This window comes from Homo sapiens, chromosome 10 (assembly GCF_000001405.40).
Source record: "Homo sapiens chromosome 10, GRCh38.p14 Primary Assembly".
NCBI classification, from domain to species: domain Eukaryota; kingdom Metazoa; phylum Chordata; class Mammalia; order Primates; family Hominidae; genus Homo; species Homo sapiens.
This window is the reverse complement of record NC_000010.11, coordinates 43976075-43994107: the sequence shown is the minus strand read 5'-3', so window position 1 is coordinate 43994107 and position 18033 is coordinate 43976075. Positions and strand designations below refer to the sequence as shown.

The 18033-nt window shown below is 43.5% G+C and overlaps 1 long non-coding RNA gene across 1 annotated transcript in view, besides 2 other annotated features; it reads right to left on the bottom strand.

Annotated features, from left to right (window-relative positions):
• Nucleotides 1-12842: 12842 nt before the first annotated feature.
• The window catches only part of LINC00841 (long intergenic non-protein coding RNA 841), a 71970-nt gene continuing 66779 nt past the window's right edge, over nucleotides 12843-18033 (bottom strand). Inside the window, exon 5 of the long non-coding RNA NR_136147.1 lies at nucleotides 12843-13654. This is a non-coding gene — a long non-coding RNA (long intergenic non-protein coding RNA 841). The remainder of the gene's footprint in view (nucleotides 13655-18033) is intronic.
• Nucleotides 12976-13475: an enhancer, noted in NCBI's record as "H3K4me1 hESC enhancer chr10:44476081-44476580 (GRCh37/hg19 assembly coordinates)". NCBI's record gives its function as "activates a minimal SCP1, AML or CMV promoter by ChIP-STARR-seq in naive H9 embryonic stem cells {active_cell/tissue: H9 hESC(naive)}" and the evidence as "EXISTENCE:reporter gene assay evidence [ECO:0000049][PMID:30033119]".
• Nucleotides 13476-13977: an enhancer, noted in NCBI's record as "H3K4me1 hESC enhancer chr10:44475579-44476080 (GRCh37/hg19 assembly coordinates)". NCBI's record gives its function as "activates a minimal SCP1, AML or CMV promoter by ChIP-STARR-seq in naive H9 embryonic stem cells {active_cell/tissue: H9 hESC(naive)}" and the evidence as "EXISTENCE:reporter gene assay evidence [ECO:0000049][PMID:30033119]".

Genomic DNA, 18033 nt, shown 5'->3' with positions numbered 1-18033 from the left:
CATGCACAGTCAGGAAAATTCTGGGGAAAACGAAAGTAGTAATGACGTCAAGGGCCATTTGATATTGAAACATATTCTGTAACTGTGGTCATTAAAAGTTTTGCTCTACAATAGAAATAGACAAATTGACCATTAGAAGGAGAGTCCAGAATGAAATATAGGATTATAGCATATTATAATGCAGAATTTTGAATCACTGGACAAAAATTGATTGTTAAATAAATGACAAGGGAAAACTGCATCATCAAGGAAGAAGCAAAACTCAGTTCCACCTTTCCTGACAAATTTACCTAAATCCGACGAATCAAAACCTCTAATGTTTTAAAAAGGCAAATGCAAATATATTAGAAAAAACAAGTAAACGTAATCTTTTATTAGAAACGATATTTTAAGCAAGAAGCAAAAACTAAAGCCCATAAAAAAGACAGATAAATTTCACAACAAAAATATCATGATTAAAAATAAAAACCCAACAACAAGAAAAAAGATTGCCAAAATGATAGAAGGGAAAAATCCTTAATATATATAAAAGCTTTTTGCACATCTGCAAAATATAATAAAAATAGTGGAAAAAGAAAAATGGGCAGTTTACACTAATAAAACGCAAGTTTCACACAAATAATTGAAAAGAACCTCAACATACCTCATAATTAAATAATTGCAAATTAAGATGTTGTTTTTCCCTTGTTCACCTAACAAAATTTTGATGAAACACAACTGGAAGTATGCACAGAACCCCAGCTGATCTCGTTGGAAGTCAATATGTCTTAATCTCAATAAATGATAATTGCTCAGATGCTATGAGCCTGCTAATCAACAGATGCAAAGAGCATTTTGCATGTGCACAAGGTCTAAGTAAAATGATACCGACTTTGTCTTTAGTGGCCATACAAGAAATGAAAGAGATACCTCACCTGAGCTAAGATGGCCGAATAGGAACAGATCTGGTCTACAGCTCCCAGCGTGAGCAACGCACAAGACAGGTGATTTCTGCATTTCCATCTGAGGTACCGGGTTCATCTCACTAGGGAGTGCCAGACAGTGGGCGCATGACAGTGGGTGCAGCGCACCGTGCGTGAGCCGAAGGAGGGCGAGGCATTGCCTTACTCGGGAAGTGCAAGGGATCAGGGAGTTCCCTTTCCTAGTCAAAGAAAGGGGTGACAGACGGCACCTGGAAAATCGGGTCACTCCCACCCGAATACTGCGCTTTTCTGACGGGCTTAAAAAACGGCACACCAGGAGATTGTATCCCGCACCTGGCTCGGAGGGACCTATGCCCATGGAGTCTTGCTGATTGCTAGCACAGCAGTCTGAGATCAAACTGCAAGGTGGCAGCGAGGCTGGGGGAGGGGCACCCACCATTGCTCAAGCTTGCTTAGGTAAACAAAGCAGCTGGGAAGCTCGAACAGGGTGGAGCCCACTGCAGCTCAAGGAGGCCTGCCTGCCTCTGTAGGCTCCACCTCTGGGGGCAGGGCACAAACAAACAAAAAGACAGCAGTAACCTCTGCAGACTTAAATGTCCCTGTCTGACAGCTTTGAAGAGAGCAGTGGTTCTCCCAGCATGAAGCTGGAGATCTGAGAACGGGCAGACTGCCTCCTCAAGTGGGTCCCTGACCCCTGACCCCTGAGGAGCGTAACTGGGAGGCACCCCCCAGTAGGGGCAGACTGACACCTCACATGGCCGGGTACTCCTCTGAGACAAGACTTCCAGAGGAACAATCAGACAGCAGCATTCGTGGTTCAGGAAAATCCGCTGTTCTGCAGCCACCGCTGCTGATACCCAGGCAAACAGGGTCTGGAGTGGACCTCTACCAAACTCCAACAGACCTGCAGCTGAGGGTCCTGTCTGTTAGAAGGAAAACTAACAAACAGAAAGGACATCCACACCAAAAACCATCTGTACATCACCATCATCAAAGACCAAAAGTAGATAAAACCACAAAGATGGGGAAAAAGCAGAGCAGAAAAACTAGAAACTCTAAAAAGCAGAGCACCTCTCCTCCTCCAAAGGAACACAGTTCCTCACGAGCAACGAAACAAAGCTGGATGGAGAATGACTTTGACGAGTCATTCTCTTTGACGAGAGAAGAAGGCTTCAGACGATCAAACTACTCCGAGCTACAGGAGGAAATTCAAACCAAAGGCAAAGAAGTTAAAAACTTTGAAAAAAATTTAGACGAATGTATAACTAGAATAACCAATACAGAGAACTGCTTAAAGGAGCTGATGGAGCTGAAAGCCAAGGCTTGAGAACTACGGGAAGAATGCAGAAGCCTCAGGAGCTGATGCGATCAACTGGAAGAAAGGGTAGCAGTGATGGAAGACGAAATGAATGAAATGAAGTGAGAAGGGAAGTTTAGAGAAAAAAGAATAAAAAGAAACGAACAAAGCCTCCAAGAAATATGAGACTATGTGAAAAGACCAAATCTACGTCTGATTGGTGTACCTGAAAGTGACGGGGAGAATGGAACCAAGTTGGAAAACACTCTGCAAGATATTATCCAGGAGAACTTCCCCAATCTAGCAAGGCAGGCCAACATTCAGCGTCAGGAAATACAGAGAATGCCACAAAGATACTCCTCGAGAAAAGCAATCCCAAGACACATAATTGTCAGATTCACCAAAGTTGAAATGAAGGAAAAAATGTTAAGGGCAGCCAGAGAGAAAAGTCAGGTTACCCACAAAGGGAAGCCCATCAGACTAACAGGGGATCTCTTGGCAGAAACTCTACAAGCCAGAAGAGAGTGGGGGCCAATATTCAACATTCTTAAAGAAAAGAATTTTCAACCCAGAATTTCATATCCAGCCAAACTAAGCTTCCTAAGTGAAGGAGAAATAAAATCCTTTACAGACAAGCAAATGCTGAGAGATTTTGTCACCACCAGGCCTGCCCTACAAGAGCTCCTGAAAGAAGTGCTAAACATGGAAAGGAACATCCGGTACCAGCCACTGCAAAATCATGACAAATTGTAAAGACCATCGAGGCTAGGAAGAAACTGCATCAACTAACGAGCAAAATAACCAGCTAACATCATAATGACAGGATCAAATTCACACATAACAATATTAACTTTAAATGTAAATGGACTAGATGCTCCAATTAAAAGACACAGACTGGCAAATCGGATAAAGAGTCAAGACCCATCAGTGTGCTGTATTCAGGAAACACTTCTCACATGCAGAGACACACATAGGCTCAAAATAAAAGGATGGAGGAAGATCTACCAAGCAAATGGAAAACAAAAAAAGGCAGGGGTTGCAAACCTAGTCTCTTATTAAACAGACTTTAAACCAACAAAGATCAAAAAAGACAAAGAAGGCCATTACATAATGGTAAAGGGATCAATTCAACAAGAGCTAACTATCCTAAATATATGTGCAACCAATACAGGAGCAACCAGATTCATAAAGGAAGTCCTGAGTGACCTACAAAGAGACTTAGACTCCCACACAGTAATAATGGGAGACTTTAACACCCCACTGTCAACATTAGACAGATCAACGAGACAGATCGTAAACATGAATACCCAGGAATTGAACTCAGCTCTGCACCAAGCAGACCTAATAGACATCTACAGAACTTTCCACCCCAAATCAACAGAATATACATTTTTTCAGCACCACACCACACCTATTCCAAAATTGACCATATAGTTGGAAGTAAAGTTCTCCTCAGCAAATGTAAAACAACAGAAATTATAACAAACTGTATCTCAGACCACAGTGCAATCAAACTAGAACTCAGGATTAAGAAACTCACTCAAAACCGCTCAACTACATGGAAACTGAACAACCTGCTCCTGAATGACTACTGGGTACATAACGAAATGAAGACACAAATAAAGATGTTCTTTGAAACCAAAGAGAACAAAGACACAACACACCAGAATCTCTGGGACACATTCAAAGCAGTTTGTAGAGGGAAATTTATAGCACTAAATGCCCACAAGAAAAAGCAGGAAAGATCCAAAATTGACACCCTAAAATCACAATTAAAGGAACTAGAAAAGCAAGAGCAAACACATTCAAAAGCTAGCAGAAGGCAAGAAATAACTAAAATCAGAGCAGAACTGAAGGAAATAGAGATACAAAAAACCCTTCAAAAAATTAATGAATCCAGGAGCTGGTTTTTTGAAAGGATCAACAAAATTGATAGACCGCTAGCAAGACTAATAAAGAAGAAAAGAGAGAAGAATCAAATAGACAAAATAAAAAATGATAAAGGGGATATCACCACTGATCCCACAGAAATACAAACTACCATCAGAGAATACTACAAACACCGCTACGCAAATAAACTAGAAAATCTAGAAGAAATGGGTAAATTTCATAGATGATAAAATGTCTTATCAACTAATACCTAATATTCTAACTTAGGTTATGTACAATAGGTTTAAGAACCAGTTGTAGAATTTGATATATAGAAAATAATATAGACCCTGTCACTGGACAAACTTATGGTGGAATCATTTGTCCACAATTAGTTATTCTTTCTGAACCCCTGTTTGGATATATATTTTTAAAGCCCATAATTTGGGCATCCTCATAAAGTAGTGAAGTCCGAAATTAAACAATCATTGTAAGAGAGCTAGTTTCCTTTCTCGGCAAGAGAATATAACTCTAAAATTTATGCCCAAGTTAGACTATTTCTATCTTGCCTCTTTCCCCTAGAATATTTGGGTTTAATTAAAAATTTACAATGAAATTAGAAAAATAAAAATAAAAATAAAAAATCAAATAGAGATAAAATAACAGTGGTAATCAAAATAGACCCCTATTTTGATCTAAAAAAGAAAGTAAAAAAGATAATTTGGACATCATAAAATTAAACTTCTGCTCTTCACATGGCTCCTTCAATACAAAAAACTGTGCCTTATTTTTACTTGACCCCTTTGTGTTTAGGATAAAAATCTAAAACTCAGAGTCTAGCTTTTGCCTCTGTCATCATCTCATCCTTCATGCTTTCCGTTCCTATCCGAGGATCCAGCCATGCAGATCTACCTGTGGTTCCCCAAGACTCTTGAAAGTCTCCATGATTTGAGTATGTAACTCCTCTTGATGGTAGGATCCCCTGCCTTCCCCAAATTCCATGTGACCAACCCCCACTTATCTTGCAACACTCAGCTCCATTGTCATCTAATGAAAACCCTTCACATTAAGGATGGGAGGCAAAAAAGGAAAACAGTTATAATTTAGCGTGTATGCCATTATAAAGTGTTGCTTTACATTTTATTTGCTTTAACATGTGCTGGACCTCTACGAAATGATGCTCTTGTTCATTGCAGCAATGCAGAATCTGTAGAAAGAAGAGGTGCAATAACCTTCCTGCCCTGGGAATGGGTGGTAAGCCTGAAGTTTTTAAGAGGTCTGTAAGTCTAGTAAAACTTGGGGCCAGCTTCTGACCATAATAAGCCTTAACAATCCTGTTTGTGATTTGAAGGGAAAAAAAATAAAGATTTACAATCACGATGAAAATAAATTTTCTACTGTGGATACATAAATTAAAAACCATTTATATATTTCAGGCACCTTCCAGATATGTCTCCCTTCCCACCTGAGCTCCCTCACCCCAAACCAAAGTGGATACAGCCTGGAAACTATATATCTGCTCAAGTCCCTTAAACTTCAGTTGAATCCCACAAGAAACAAGAATGCTTCCTATAAAACTTGGATGGCCAAAGAGAAAGAGAAACCATCTAATTCCCCTACAGGAGAGGTCATGGGGCTTTTCCTCTGCCAGGAGACGTTGTCAGGAAAGACCCTACTTCAGGACTGTGGGCCCCGAGCTGTACATGGAAGCTCCAAGCACCTTGGGCAGCCTCCTGAGCGGATTCACTTGGGTCCTGCAGGAGGCTGAGACCAAGGAGAACTCCACCCTTCAGGACTTGCCCTGGTCCTTTACACCCAGGCTTCTAAGGATTGCCTAAGCTTCTAATGACCTGTATTAACATCTTAGTCTTCAAAATACCTAGATGAGAATTCTTGACTAAACCTCAACTGAAAAAATCTGTGCAGTCCATTTATTTCCATAATCCATAAGGGAAGAGTTTCCCAGGCAATGATACCTGTAGTCTATGTGTAGAGCTAGACAACTTATAAAGATGTGTTACTTAATTTAGGTATGTTTGAAATACATCTTGTCTTCTCATTTTAGGACACGCATTTTGTATAAATTGTCAGTGGACCAATTCCACTATGTTGAAGAAAATGATAACAAGCATGGTATTTGATGTCTTACCCACTGCATGGATTCCTTTAACCCACCGGACTCACCTTTCCTGGATCTGCAGGGTATGTGTTTAATTATACCACATGGAATGCATTGTCCCAGGCAGGAGCTGTCAGCATAGTGAGGCTTCTCCCCCAGAATGACTGCAGGGAAGGCTGCATCTGAACGCCACCTTCCCCTGCAAACTAGACTTGCTGTAGGTAAGTAGACCCAGGTTGATTTATGGCCTATGGGCCAAAAAAATATAAAAAGTCCTGCCAGGTGGATAAATTACAGAATCCATTATGCTTTCATCGTATGGACTAAAAGATGAGGAAGAAGAGGAAGAAGGTGCTTTCACCTGAAATACTAGTGTCTAGAAGATTACTTTTTGGATTATGTTAGGAGATCAAGCATTTCTCCTCCAGGCCTCTGGGGATGTGTATGAGTGAACATCTAACACGACTTAGCTATTCACCGTGATAGGAAATCACAGCTGCCATGAAACCTACTCTAGTCATTGATCCAGGAGGCTTCCTTCTCGAGATCCAGGCCAGTAAGAGTGTTGCACCCTCCTAGCCTGGGAGGCTCCCCTAAGCTGCCCACTCAGACCCTCCTGGGTGTGCAACTGCCTCCTCCTATGTGTTCAGACCCATGCTACTTTCCCCTTCCCTCCTTCCCTTCTTCCCATTGATCTTTTGGGAGCACCTCCTCTGTGTGAGTTACTGTGATTAGGTGACAGGGATGTCCCATTGATTAGGACACCAGACACCCCTTCAGGAAACAGACCCTGTTGGAGAGGATGGTCAAGGGATCAGATTGGTGATTACAGGGCGTTTGACATGTGTTGTACCAGGAATAAGAACAGGGCCTTTTGGGAGCACATGGGAGGGACATCTGACCCGGACCAGGGCACTGTCTGGCAGAAATATAACATGACCCACAAAGGCGAGCTGCATATATCATTTTGAATTGCCTTGTGACTATATTTTTTAAGTTTAAAAATATGAAATTAATTTTAATAATATATTTAACTAAATATATCTAAAATATTGTTATTCAAGATTCAATATATAGTTGATATAAAATTGAGATGAATCTGCTGCATAGTTTACTCACAGCTTAGAAATTCCCTTCTTCAATGGCACTGGCCACATCTCAGGAGCTCAGCAGCCACAGGGGCCTGGAGACTGCTGCCTTGGAGTCTGGGAGGTAGGGAGGTACTTCCTAAAGAAGCTCAGCTGAGGCTCAAAGGTGAGGGGGTTGGAAGGTAATGAGGTGGGGGAGGAAAAGATACTCCAAGGAGAAGAAAGCGCATGTGCAGAGGCTCCCATGCAAGACGGGAGCCTGGCAGACTTGGGCCATGGGTCACTGGTCATGTGGGTGGGGAGGGTGGGGAAGGGCAGGGAGAATGGCTTCTGTGAGCTAAGAGGCCAGCAGGCAAGGTCAACACCATCGCGTTTGTACAGAGTAACTTGCACCTCTTCCTGCAGCAGTGGAGCCCAGGAGTGTGTGATGGTGGGGTGACTTCATCAAACGAGTCCCTTTAGAAGGATCTGGAAAAATGTCCACAGTATATAGGGTGGGATGAGGGGCTGCAGGCAGGACTTAGGGGCAGGAAAGTCACCTAGAAAGCTGCCGCCATCGCTGGCTGGAGGTTAAGGCAGCTTGCACCCAGGCAGCAGCCAGAGGGTCAGAGACACGGGCTGAGGAGAATGTAAAGCCGCACCATGGGGTGACTGTGTAGATGCAGGGGACAGAGGAGGAGGAGAGGTCAGGGGCTTCCCAGCCAGGAAACCAGGCTTGCAGTGGTGCTGTCAGTGACCAGGAACGCAGGGGAGGGCAGGTTCTGTGGGAGAAATCCTCAGTTCTCTGAAGAAGACACTGCATTTTAGGTTGTCTTAGCTCAGGCTGCCACAGCAAAACACCACAGGCTGGGCAGCTGAAACAGCAGACATTCATTTCCCACAGCTCTGGAAGTTGGAATTCTAGATCAAGGCACAGCTGAATTGGTTTCCACGGAGGGCCGTTTTCTGGCATGTAAATGATACCTTCTCACTGTGCCTTCACAGAGAGAGACAGAGAGAACTCTCTGGTGTCCCTTCTTTTTATGTTATTTGTTTATTTATTTATTTAAGACAGAGTCTCGCTCTGTTGCCCAGGCTGGAGTGCAACGGTGCGATCTCAGCTCACTGCAACCTCTGCCTCCCGTGTTCAAGTGATTCTTTCCTGCCTCAGCCTCGAGTAGCTAGAACTGCAGGTGCCCATCACCATGCCCAGCTAATTTTGTTGTATTTTTAGTAAAGACGGGGTTTCACCATGTTGGCCAGGCTGGTCTCAAACTCCTGACCTCAGGTAATCCACCCGCCTCAGCCTCCCAAAGTGCTGGGATTACAGGCATGAGCCACCTCACCCAGTCGGTGTCCCTTATGGGGTCAGAGCCCTGCTCTCATGACCTCATTTAATTGCATTTACCTTCTTAGAGGCTCCATCTCTAAATCCAGCTGCACTGGGGTTAGGGCTTCCACATATGAATATTGTGGGGACATAATTCAGTCCAGAGCAAGGTTCCTGGAAGCCATCCAGGTGGAGGAGCTGCGAGGGAGGATTTGGGTCCCGCGCTGGAGGAGAAGGGTCCGGGGTCCAGGCTGGAGAGCCATGTGGACATCACCCTCCCATACCTGCACCATCTGCTGTTCACAGAACAAAGTCCTCAGACTGACATTCAAGGCCCTGACAATCTGGGCCATTCTTGCCCTCAATCCTTAAATCGTAAGCACAAAGACTTTTACCTTATCCCCAAAGCTAGCCGCTCCTATCCCATCTCTGCCCACCTGAAGTGGGAACTCCTGCACTCCTCACTCCTCCAGGGCAGGACACTTACCCAGACCAGAGCTGACTGCCATGGCACTTCTTCACTGTGCCATTATGGAGGGAAGGGAGCAAGGCCATTGCTGTGGTTATACAAAGCAAAACTAAGACCCAGGCTAACAGTTGGAGGGAGTGAATGCTAGCTCAGGCTACAGCAGCCACCTTGAGGAACTGCTTCTCACCCTGCAACGTGTATGCATAGCTCTGGGATCTACAAAGAGGAAGATGCTCACTCGCTCCTTAGGTAGAGGGTGGGCCTGATGCTCTGCATTTCTAAAGAGATCAGGCAGATCTGTGACCTGTGGACTCCGCTTTCGGTCGCATGATGGCATAAGTGGTACAAGGTTAGAAATAACCAGATCCATGCACGTGTGTGTCTTTCCACAATGTCAGGCTTTTATTGAAGGTATTTCAATCACAAAAGCCATGAGCTACATGGAGTTCCCAAGAAGGCAATTCTCCATCACACTTCCCATGCACTAGGGAGTCACGGGCACATAGTCCTGAGCACACAGGCTCAAGTCACCCCACAAGCCAGTCAGTATTGCACACCATACATCATAGTATACTTAATCAATATATGAATGTTATAGGCTAAACATTCTACAACAAACAAAGTAACATTTAACATCAAAGGGCAAAACAGATAGAAGAAAAAGTGAACAAACCAGTCCAGGGGTAGCTAAAGGAGCCCTTGTCTAGGCGAGGTGGTCCACTGGTTTTGCAATGCAGAGTATTTGATGCTGCAGAGCCTTTGGAAGCAGATGCCCAGCTCTTATCACAAGTGACTGCAAGATGGTGTCAGTTAGGATGGCCAATTCCAGGCTGCTGAAGGCCTAATCTTTTCTAGTCAGAGTCCTCTGGTGAGAACAGATAGAGAAGAGCATTCTTGTTTATGACCTTATCTTGTTGGATGCAGTCTTATTTTTTTTAATTCATTTATTAAACAAAATATCTTATCCTTGTTGGTAAAGTGCTCTGTGAACATAAAATGGAGCCTTTTTCTAAGATGGAGTTAGTTAAGTCAAGGGTGCTCTGTACCCACAGCTCTTCAAGACGTGTCCAGAAATGTCACAGAAGTGAATGAGCACCCTGTTATGGGAGGTATTCAGACACAGGTTGGACAACCACAGGATGGGGAGGTGCACTAAGGGACTGTGCTTGAGATTTGGAGATCTTTGATTCTGCTGTGGTTACATAGTTTAGGCCCTGAGGACAGTGCGGAAGGTCTCTATGCCTCAGCACGGAACTTTGCTGTGGGAAGCTTTCTCAGAGGGCTGAGGACACCCTACAGAAATGCTCCTCAGCCATCTGCCTGCCTTCCTTTGGGACTCTCTTGTCACATCTGTGCTGGCCGACAAAATGCACCTCAAGACTCCAACCACAGAAAGTATAGATGACCCAGGCCCCGCTGCTGCTGGGAAACCAAGGCTGCACTGGGACTGAGGCCACGCTGCCCAGGGGCGGCTCCCACTCACCAGGGCATGGCTGGGAGACCAAGGCCCAGCTCCTGGAACTGGAGAGTCCTCTTTCTGGTGTTCCTGGAATCCCCAGGGTGTCCAGCGCACTCCCTCCCAACTTTCTCTCTCTCTCTCTGGAGTCAAGCTTTCTGTCAGTCCTCCCCTCTCTTCCCTCTCACCCCCCATTTCCCTGAATAAAATCCTCCCATCTTCTGCTCTTTTTCTCAGGGGCCCCTGACTTATCTAATGACCTTGAACAATTTTCTTCAGGAGTCTGAGTGCCTTTCATAGGGAGTGCTGAAAATATACCAACTAAACTTTATTCATCTTTGCTGAAAACATTTCTCTTAGTTTCTTAAGTACTCTTATTTCTGCTCATGGTACATTTTTGTTGTTGCTGTTTTCAGAAGTTATTAATTTTTATGAAATACAAATGAATTCCCCCCAGGGTATCTTCCTGAACCCCACCAAAACCTCAAATTCCCTCCCCTCCATTGCACAGTGCCTGATATTTGTCCCTAAACCATCTACCAGCTCTTAGCAGAACATAAAGTCAGCTCATTAGCAAGGTCCTCAGCTTTCTGGAAGGCAGTTTTGCAATCCCTTTGCCCTTCCTAAGGGAATCTCCCTCCCGTGTATGTGGCTTATCAGGCATCTTTTCAGCAATTACCATGCCCTTCCCAGGGGGGCTTCTGGTGAATTAATTTTCCCCAAAGAATTACAATTACAAAGCCCATGTTCATCCTGGAATCTGATAAATATTCATCTCTCTCCATCTGATTGTTTTCATTTCTTTACTTTTACATTTGACTCTTCATGCCGTAAAAAAATATCCTTTTTTTTAAGGGGAGAAATAATTTGAAATACCATCTCAGATAATTCTGTGATAAATAATTGCCAACTCATTTATTTTTCAGTTCATTTATTGCTTTAGTATTTGTCATGCCATTTGTTATGTCCCCAGCAGAGAAGTATGAACACCTGGCTTGCTTTTTGCTTCCTAAGCTGTGAGTACGAGAAGGCAGCAAGATGTTCCAGGCCTGCGTCAGGCACCCATCAGGGTTGGGCAGGCCCTGGAGGAGTAGGTTGGCTCAGCCAGTCAGCTAGGCCTTAGCATGAAGACAGGTGTCTATCAGCAGCCTAAACAGAGGCCAGCCTCAGAGCTTGGCAGAGTGCAGGAGCAAAGCTCCACAGGACCAAGGAGCAGCCAGTAGACAGGGATCCTGGCTGGCAGGTACGGATTCCAAAGAGAACCCCTGTCAAGAAGGAGCCAAGAGACCACTCCACACCCATAATGATGGCTACCAGGAAGAAAACAGAAACTAACAGATGTTGGCAAGAATATAGAGAAATTGGAACCCTTGTGCATTGTTTGCACAAGGAATGTAAAATGGTGCAGCCACTGGAAAACAGTATGGCAGACCCTCAAAAAATTAAACACAGAATTACCATATGATCCTGAACTCCACTACTGTGTACATACCCAAAAGAATTAAAAGCAAGGACTTGAAGAGGCTTTTGCATATCCCTGTTTATAATATCATTATTCACAACAGCCAAGAAGTGGAAGCAACTCAAGTGTCCATCAATACATAAATGGATAAGCAAAATGTGGTCTATACATGCAATGGAATATTATTCAGCTTTAAAAAGGAAGAAAATGCTGACACGTGGTATACGAAGGATGAACTCTGAGAACACTGTGCTCAAGTGAAATAAGCCAGTTACAGAAGGACAAATACTGTATGATTCCACTGACATGAGGTACACAGAGTACTTCATAAAATCATAGAGACAGAAAGAACAGTGGTTGCCAGAGGTGAGTGGAGAAGAGAATGGAGACTTGTTGTTTAATGAGTACAGAGTTTCCATTTTATAAGATAAAAAGAGTTGTGGAGATAGATGGTGGTGATGGGGGCACAATATTATGAGTAAATTTAATACCACTGAATTGTATGCTTAAAAATGGTTAACCCAGTCAACATCATGCTTTGTGTATTTTACCACAATAAAAACAAAGAAGAAGCCAAGATAAGGAAGGGACAGAGAAGACTATGTCCCCTACAAGCCTGGGAAAACCCCTCCATTAAGAGAAAATAAAACCTACCCTAAGATGTAGAAAGCATTTCAGAAAGTGCTGTGTAAGTGGTGATTAAGCATAGCTGGATTCTATCTTGCGTCAGATGGTTCTGGGAAGTGAAGGCACTTTGATAATCAATGTCTCAGCTTCATCAGCCTTTTTCTGTGTTGCAAATTCACTCAAAGAAGGTAGAAGAGGAACTGCCACAGCTGGGAGCATTTTATCCCTTGGTTCCCAAACCAATGATTTCTGCATTTATTTGGACTACAGTGTTTTCCACTCAATGAAGCCTCATCAAATTTTGTGGTTATCTCTGTAATAGTTAAACTTTTATACGCAGCTACACCAAGAAAATTTGGATCCTTAAAGAGTGGAAAAATAGAGTGGAAAGTATGAACATTAACTTCATTAAACCTTAGTCAAGCAGAACTATGGGACGTCCTTTGGTGCTTGTCTGAAACAATTTTAGGATAACAGAAATTTTGTGCAGCAGTAACCGACCTGCCCAGCAGGCCTGGAACCCAGCCCTGAGGATGAGGCCTCATTTGCACTTGCTGTGTGACCTTCGGAAAGTGACTGTGGCTCTCTGGTGTTCAGTTCCCTTTATGTGATTAGACACGTGTTAGTTGGCTGGTTCATGGTGCTCCTCCTTCACAGGCTGAAGGGGACGCAGGACTGGCATCACAGCAGTTCTGTCACCAACAAGCATGGGATCCAACCAGTGCTTGGTGTACGAGAGAAACTCAATAAATGATCCAACGTGCACAATCATTATTTGCTCAAAGTCTGCAAATGGGGCTCACTCGGTGGCGTGGTTGCTCTGCCCTGCGCAGTGTGGAGGTGTCTGCTGAGGCTGGAGGTCACAATGCCTCCACTCGTGTCTGGACCCCCTTCAGCTGGGTGGCTACAGCAGGCAGGAACTGGCCTCCATCTCCTGTGAGGTGTTCAGACTTCCTACACAGCAATTGCTTCCAAGAGGGCAAGGGGGCCTCACTGGAAACAGGCAATTCTGCTTCCGGCCAATTCTGCCACATTCTGTTGATAAAGAGAAAAGGAAATGAACTCCACCCACTGATGAGAGTAGCAGCAGGCGTGTGCAGGGTAGGGAGAGAGCAAGGACAGAGGCGTCCCACCACCCACTGCCCCAGGCAACCCAAGCGTCTGTTTTCCTACATAAGTTACAATTACAATCTTACCTGTCCTGAAAGCTTGGGGAATCAGGCGTTTTGCCATGTTATTTTATTAGTTTCCTCTCGCTGATATAACAAATTATAGGCTGAGCATTCCTAATTTAAAATATTTAAATAATTTCAATAATAAATGTTTAAAATATGTTAAATAATAAAAGTTACCTTCAGGCTATGTGTACAAGATGTATATAAAATGTGAATGAATTTTGTATTTAGACTTGGATCCCATCCCCAAGATATCTCAATATGTATGTACAAATATTCCAAAAGCTGAAAAAATGCAAAATCCAAAATCTGAAAGAGTGCTGGTCCCAAGCGTTTTGGACAAGGGCTATTCAGACTCAGTGGCAACACACATTGTTTATCTTACAGTTCCTGAGGTCAGGGGTCTGAAGTCAGTTTCACTAGACTGAAATAGACGTGTAGCCCAGGGAGAAACTGTCCTTGCCTTGTCCAGCTTCCAGGGGCTGCTCCTCCACCCTCAAAGCCTGTCAAGGCCGGAGCCCTCACAGCACTGCATGGAGAGCCTTCCACCTCTCTCTCCCAACTATCAGGACCTGTGACGGCATTGGGCCCACCTGGAGAATCCAGGACCCTCTCCCCATCCCCAGGTCACCTGACACAACCTGCATTCCATCTGCTGCCTCAGTTCTCTCCTGCTAACATAATATGACACATTCACAGGTTTGGGGGATTCAGATGTGGACATTTTGACAGGCCATCATGCATCCTACCACAGTCACCATTTCAGGTTGTTTTTAATGTTTTCATTACTTTGGATAATATTTTGTAAAAAAAAAAAAATAATAATTGCCATAAAGATGTAGCCTCTTTCCTCTATTCGAATCTGCTAAGTTGGTTAAACACACACACAAAAATTTTTTTTTAATAGGCTGTAAGTGAGAGCCAAGGGACTCTTTTCTGCAGAATGTTCATAAATTTTACTCTGGGGGAGTGGAGATGGAGACCTATCAGAAGCTGTTGTGATTGGAGAGTAGGAGGGATGTTAGGAGCCTTATCATGGGGACAGGCTGGCCCTTCCACCCAATGTCTGGATGTCACACTCCCCAAAGCTAGACACTGGTGCATCAACACTTTGGTGCTGGCTACCACATTATTTAATGAGGCATCCAGGTGGGAGGGGGTTCCTGGAAAAACTCCAACCTGCCCACGCAATGGGGCGGACCCTCGGGAAGTTCACACTATTTGCGGTGGGAGAGGAGCCGGGCCCCTCTTCTTCCTGTGTGGAATCCAAGATTCCTGTGTGGAACCCGGGTGGGAAGCGCTCTAGCAGGGACTCTGGCCCTGCGAGAGTCCCTGTTTCGCCCATTTTCTTCCTTTTCACCCAGTAAAACCCTGTCTTACTCATTATTCAAGTTGTCTGCAAGCCTGAATTTTTGTGGCCATGGGACAAAGAACCCCGTCTTTAGCTGAACTAAGGAAAAGTTCTGCAACATTAAGAGGCTGAAAATGTGACAAATGGAAGACCAAAAGAAGCCATTTTCTTCATTCGGTGCAGCACATGATTTCCTGAGATTTTACTTATAATCTTCTGAGTTTAAAGGTTGTAACAGAAACTAAATTTCCACTCCTATTTCATTCCTATTACAGTAGCCGCCCCTCCCTATCCATGGGAACACATTGCAAGACCCCCAGTGGATGGTTGAGCATCGGATTTTAGGGAACTCTATATACAATATGCTTTTTCCTATACATACAGACCTATGATAAAGCTTGTTGTATGAATTAGGCACCGTAAGAGATTTAACAACAATAACAAAAAATAAAATAGAACAATTATGAAAAAATACTGTAATAAAAGTTACATAAATTTGGTCTCTCTCTCAAAATATCTTATTGTACCATACCGAGGGTAACTGGAATCCCAGAAAGTGAAACTATCAACAAGGGGGACTACTGTATAAGGGATAGAAAGAAGCTGAGAGTCAACCCTAACTTGTTAATTTAATGAGGTCATTAAAGAGAGAACTCAACTATTACGCTACACAGGAAAATGAGCAGGAAGTTACACAAGCTGTTCATGTTGCAGATGAACCTACTGCATGTCTAGCGGTGAAAACAAAGTAGAAAAACATTTTCTTTTTATAGAGGGGTAGCTAGGGTGCTCTTGCCCAGAAATCCTGACATCTCACTTGTCTTCCCAGAGCTGAGAGTTGGTGTTCTGACATAGCGTAGTTCATAATAACGTGGGGAGAATGCTGACATAGGTGGAAAAACTACTCATGAAGTCTGCTTTACAACTACAACTGGGCATTTCTATGGGAACTTGGGCTTGCCATCCAGGGAGGCTGAAGGCTCCAGAGCAAGGCTGTAGGTCCACGGGACCCCTAGGCTGAGAATCTGCCTGCAAATTCTGATCAAACCTTATCATGCTCTGGGAGGCAGAGCTCTGAGTCTTCATCTGACCTTCTGCTTGGAGAGCTTCATGGGATCAATTGGTCAACATCCCAGGCCCGGGCAAGGCAAACGACTCTTAGACTCCAATGTGTCCATCAGCCAAAGTGCCCAGGGGTTTCTTCTGTTCCCTCCTGCTGCCTTTGGCTCTATTAGCCCTAGCCTGATGTGATCTGATTTACTACTAAACTACCCCACGCACAATCTTCCATTGGAGGTGATCCCAAATTCACAGTATTCACAAGAAACGTGCTTCAGTTTGTACTAACGCTGATGTCCTACTCCAGGATATAACACTGCAGCACCAATGATAAATCAGAAAGAGAACTACAGACCTGGGGTAACAGAGTTAAGATCCTTTCCAATGCCAGATTCAAACCAGATGTTCTCAATCCACCAGCATGCTCCCTCCATCCTTACCCTTCTCCCATAGTTCCCAGGCTAGGGAATGAGGTACAGCCCCATTAACAGACACTCTCTACTGGTAGAGATGAGGTTGATTGTCTGAAATGCTGAAGTGGTGCTCTTACCATTCCTTTAATCAAATCATATGGGAATTATGTTGAAAGAGCAGTGGCTTCTGCATGGGAAGTTTCAGAATTCTCATCCCAAATTGACTCCAAGTCCATTTCCTTGTCTATGAAGTAGAGATAAAGCCTAGGCCTTGACTGCTTCCTTCACAGCGGTTGATGAGGATGAATGAGGTAATGAAAATGAACACTTCTTCAAAAATGAAAAGGGTCAGTATGGCGTTTATTGTAACAACTATGTTTTACTTACACATTAGCAGTTGTATGAAGGAGAAGGAAAATCACACTGAAGAAGAAAGAAAATAATTTGCCTCCGTGGTTTCAGGCTCCACGGTTGACCAGAAGGCCTGGAACAAAATCATCCCTCAGGAAGATTTCCTGAGCACTGGAAGCAGGTAAGGATTCTAAGGAGAAGTGTGTTCATGTTCTTGACACAAACTTCAAGGGACACATTGGCTATTCTGTAAATGGGGTTTAGCTGATAAGAATATTTTTTAAGTTGATTTAGCTTGCTAGTTCTAGCCAAGGTGGAGCAACCCCATTTCATCCCTAGACATCCCTCTTGAAAATAAAAAAAGAATTGCTGGACATAACATAAAAGTCGAACATAAAAAATTAGACAGAATTACCAGATGACCCAGCAATCCAATTTCTGGGTGTTTACCCAAAAGAATTAAAAGCAAGGACTTAAACAGATCTGTGTACCCCCACATTCATAGAAGCATTATTCACAATAGCCAAGAGGCAGATGCAACCTGAGTGTCCCATCAACAAAGAAGGAGATAAACAAAATGCAGTATATGCAATGGAATGTCATCCAGCCTTAGAAAGGAAATCCTGACACATGCTACAACATAGATGAACGCTGAGGACATTATTTCAAGTGAGATAAGCCAGTCACAAAAGGACAAATACTTCAAAAATCATAGCAACAGTTATTAGAATGGTGGTTTCCAAGGGCTGGGGGGAGGCAGAAATAGGGAGAAATGGTGTTTAATGAATCAGTTTCAGTTTTGCAAGATGAAAAGTATTCTAGAGAAGGGTGGTAGTGATGGTTGCCCCACAATGTTAATGTACTTAAGTGCTATACTAAGTATACTTAGAACCATACACCTAAAACTGGTTAAATCATACATTTTGTGTTATGTATATTTTACTACAGTAAAAACAGTCAAACCTAGGAAGACTCTGAGAGGTGGAAAGAGCAAGGTGACTTCTTAGAGACCTTGGGACTTGAGGTTGGCACTACGGTGAGGTGCCTGGATTTTCTTTATGTTTC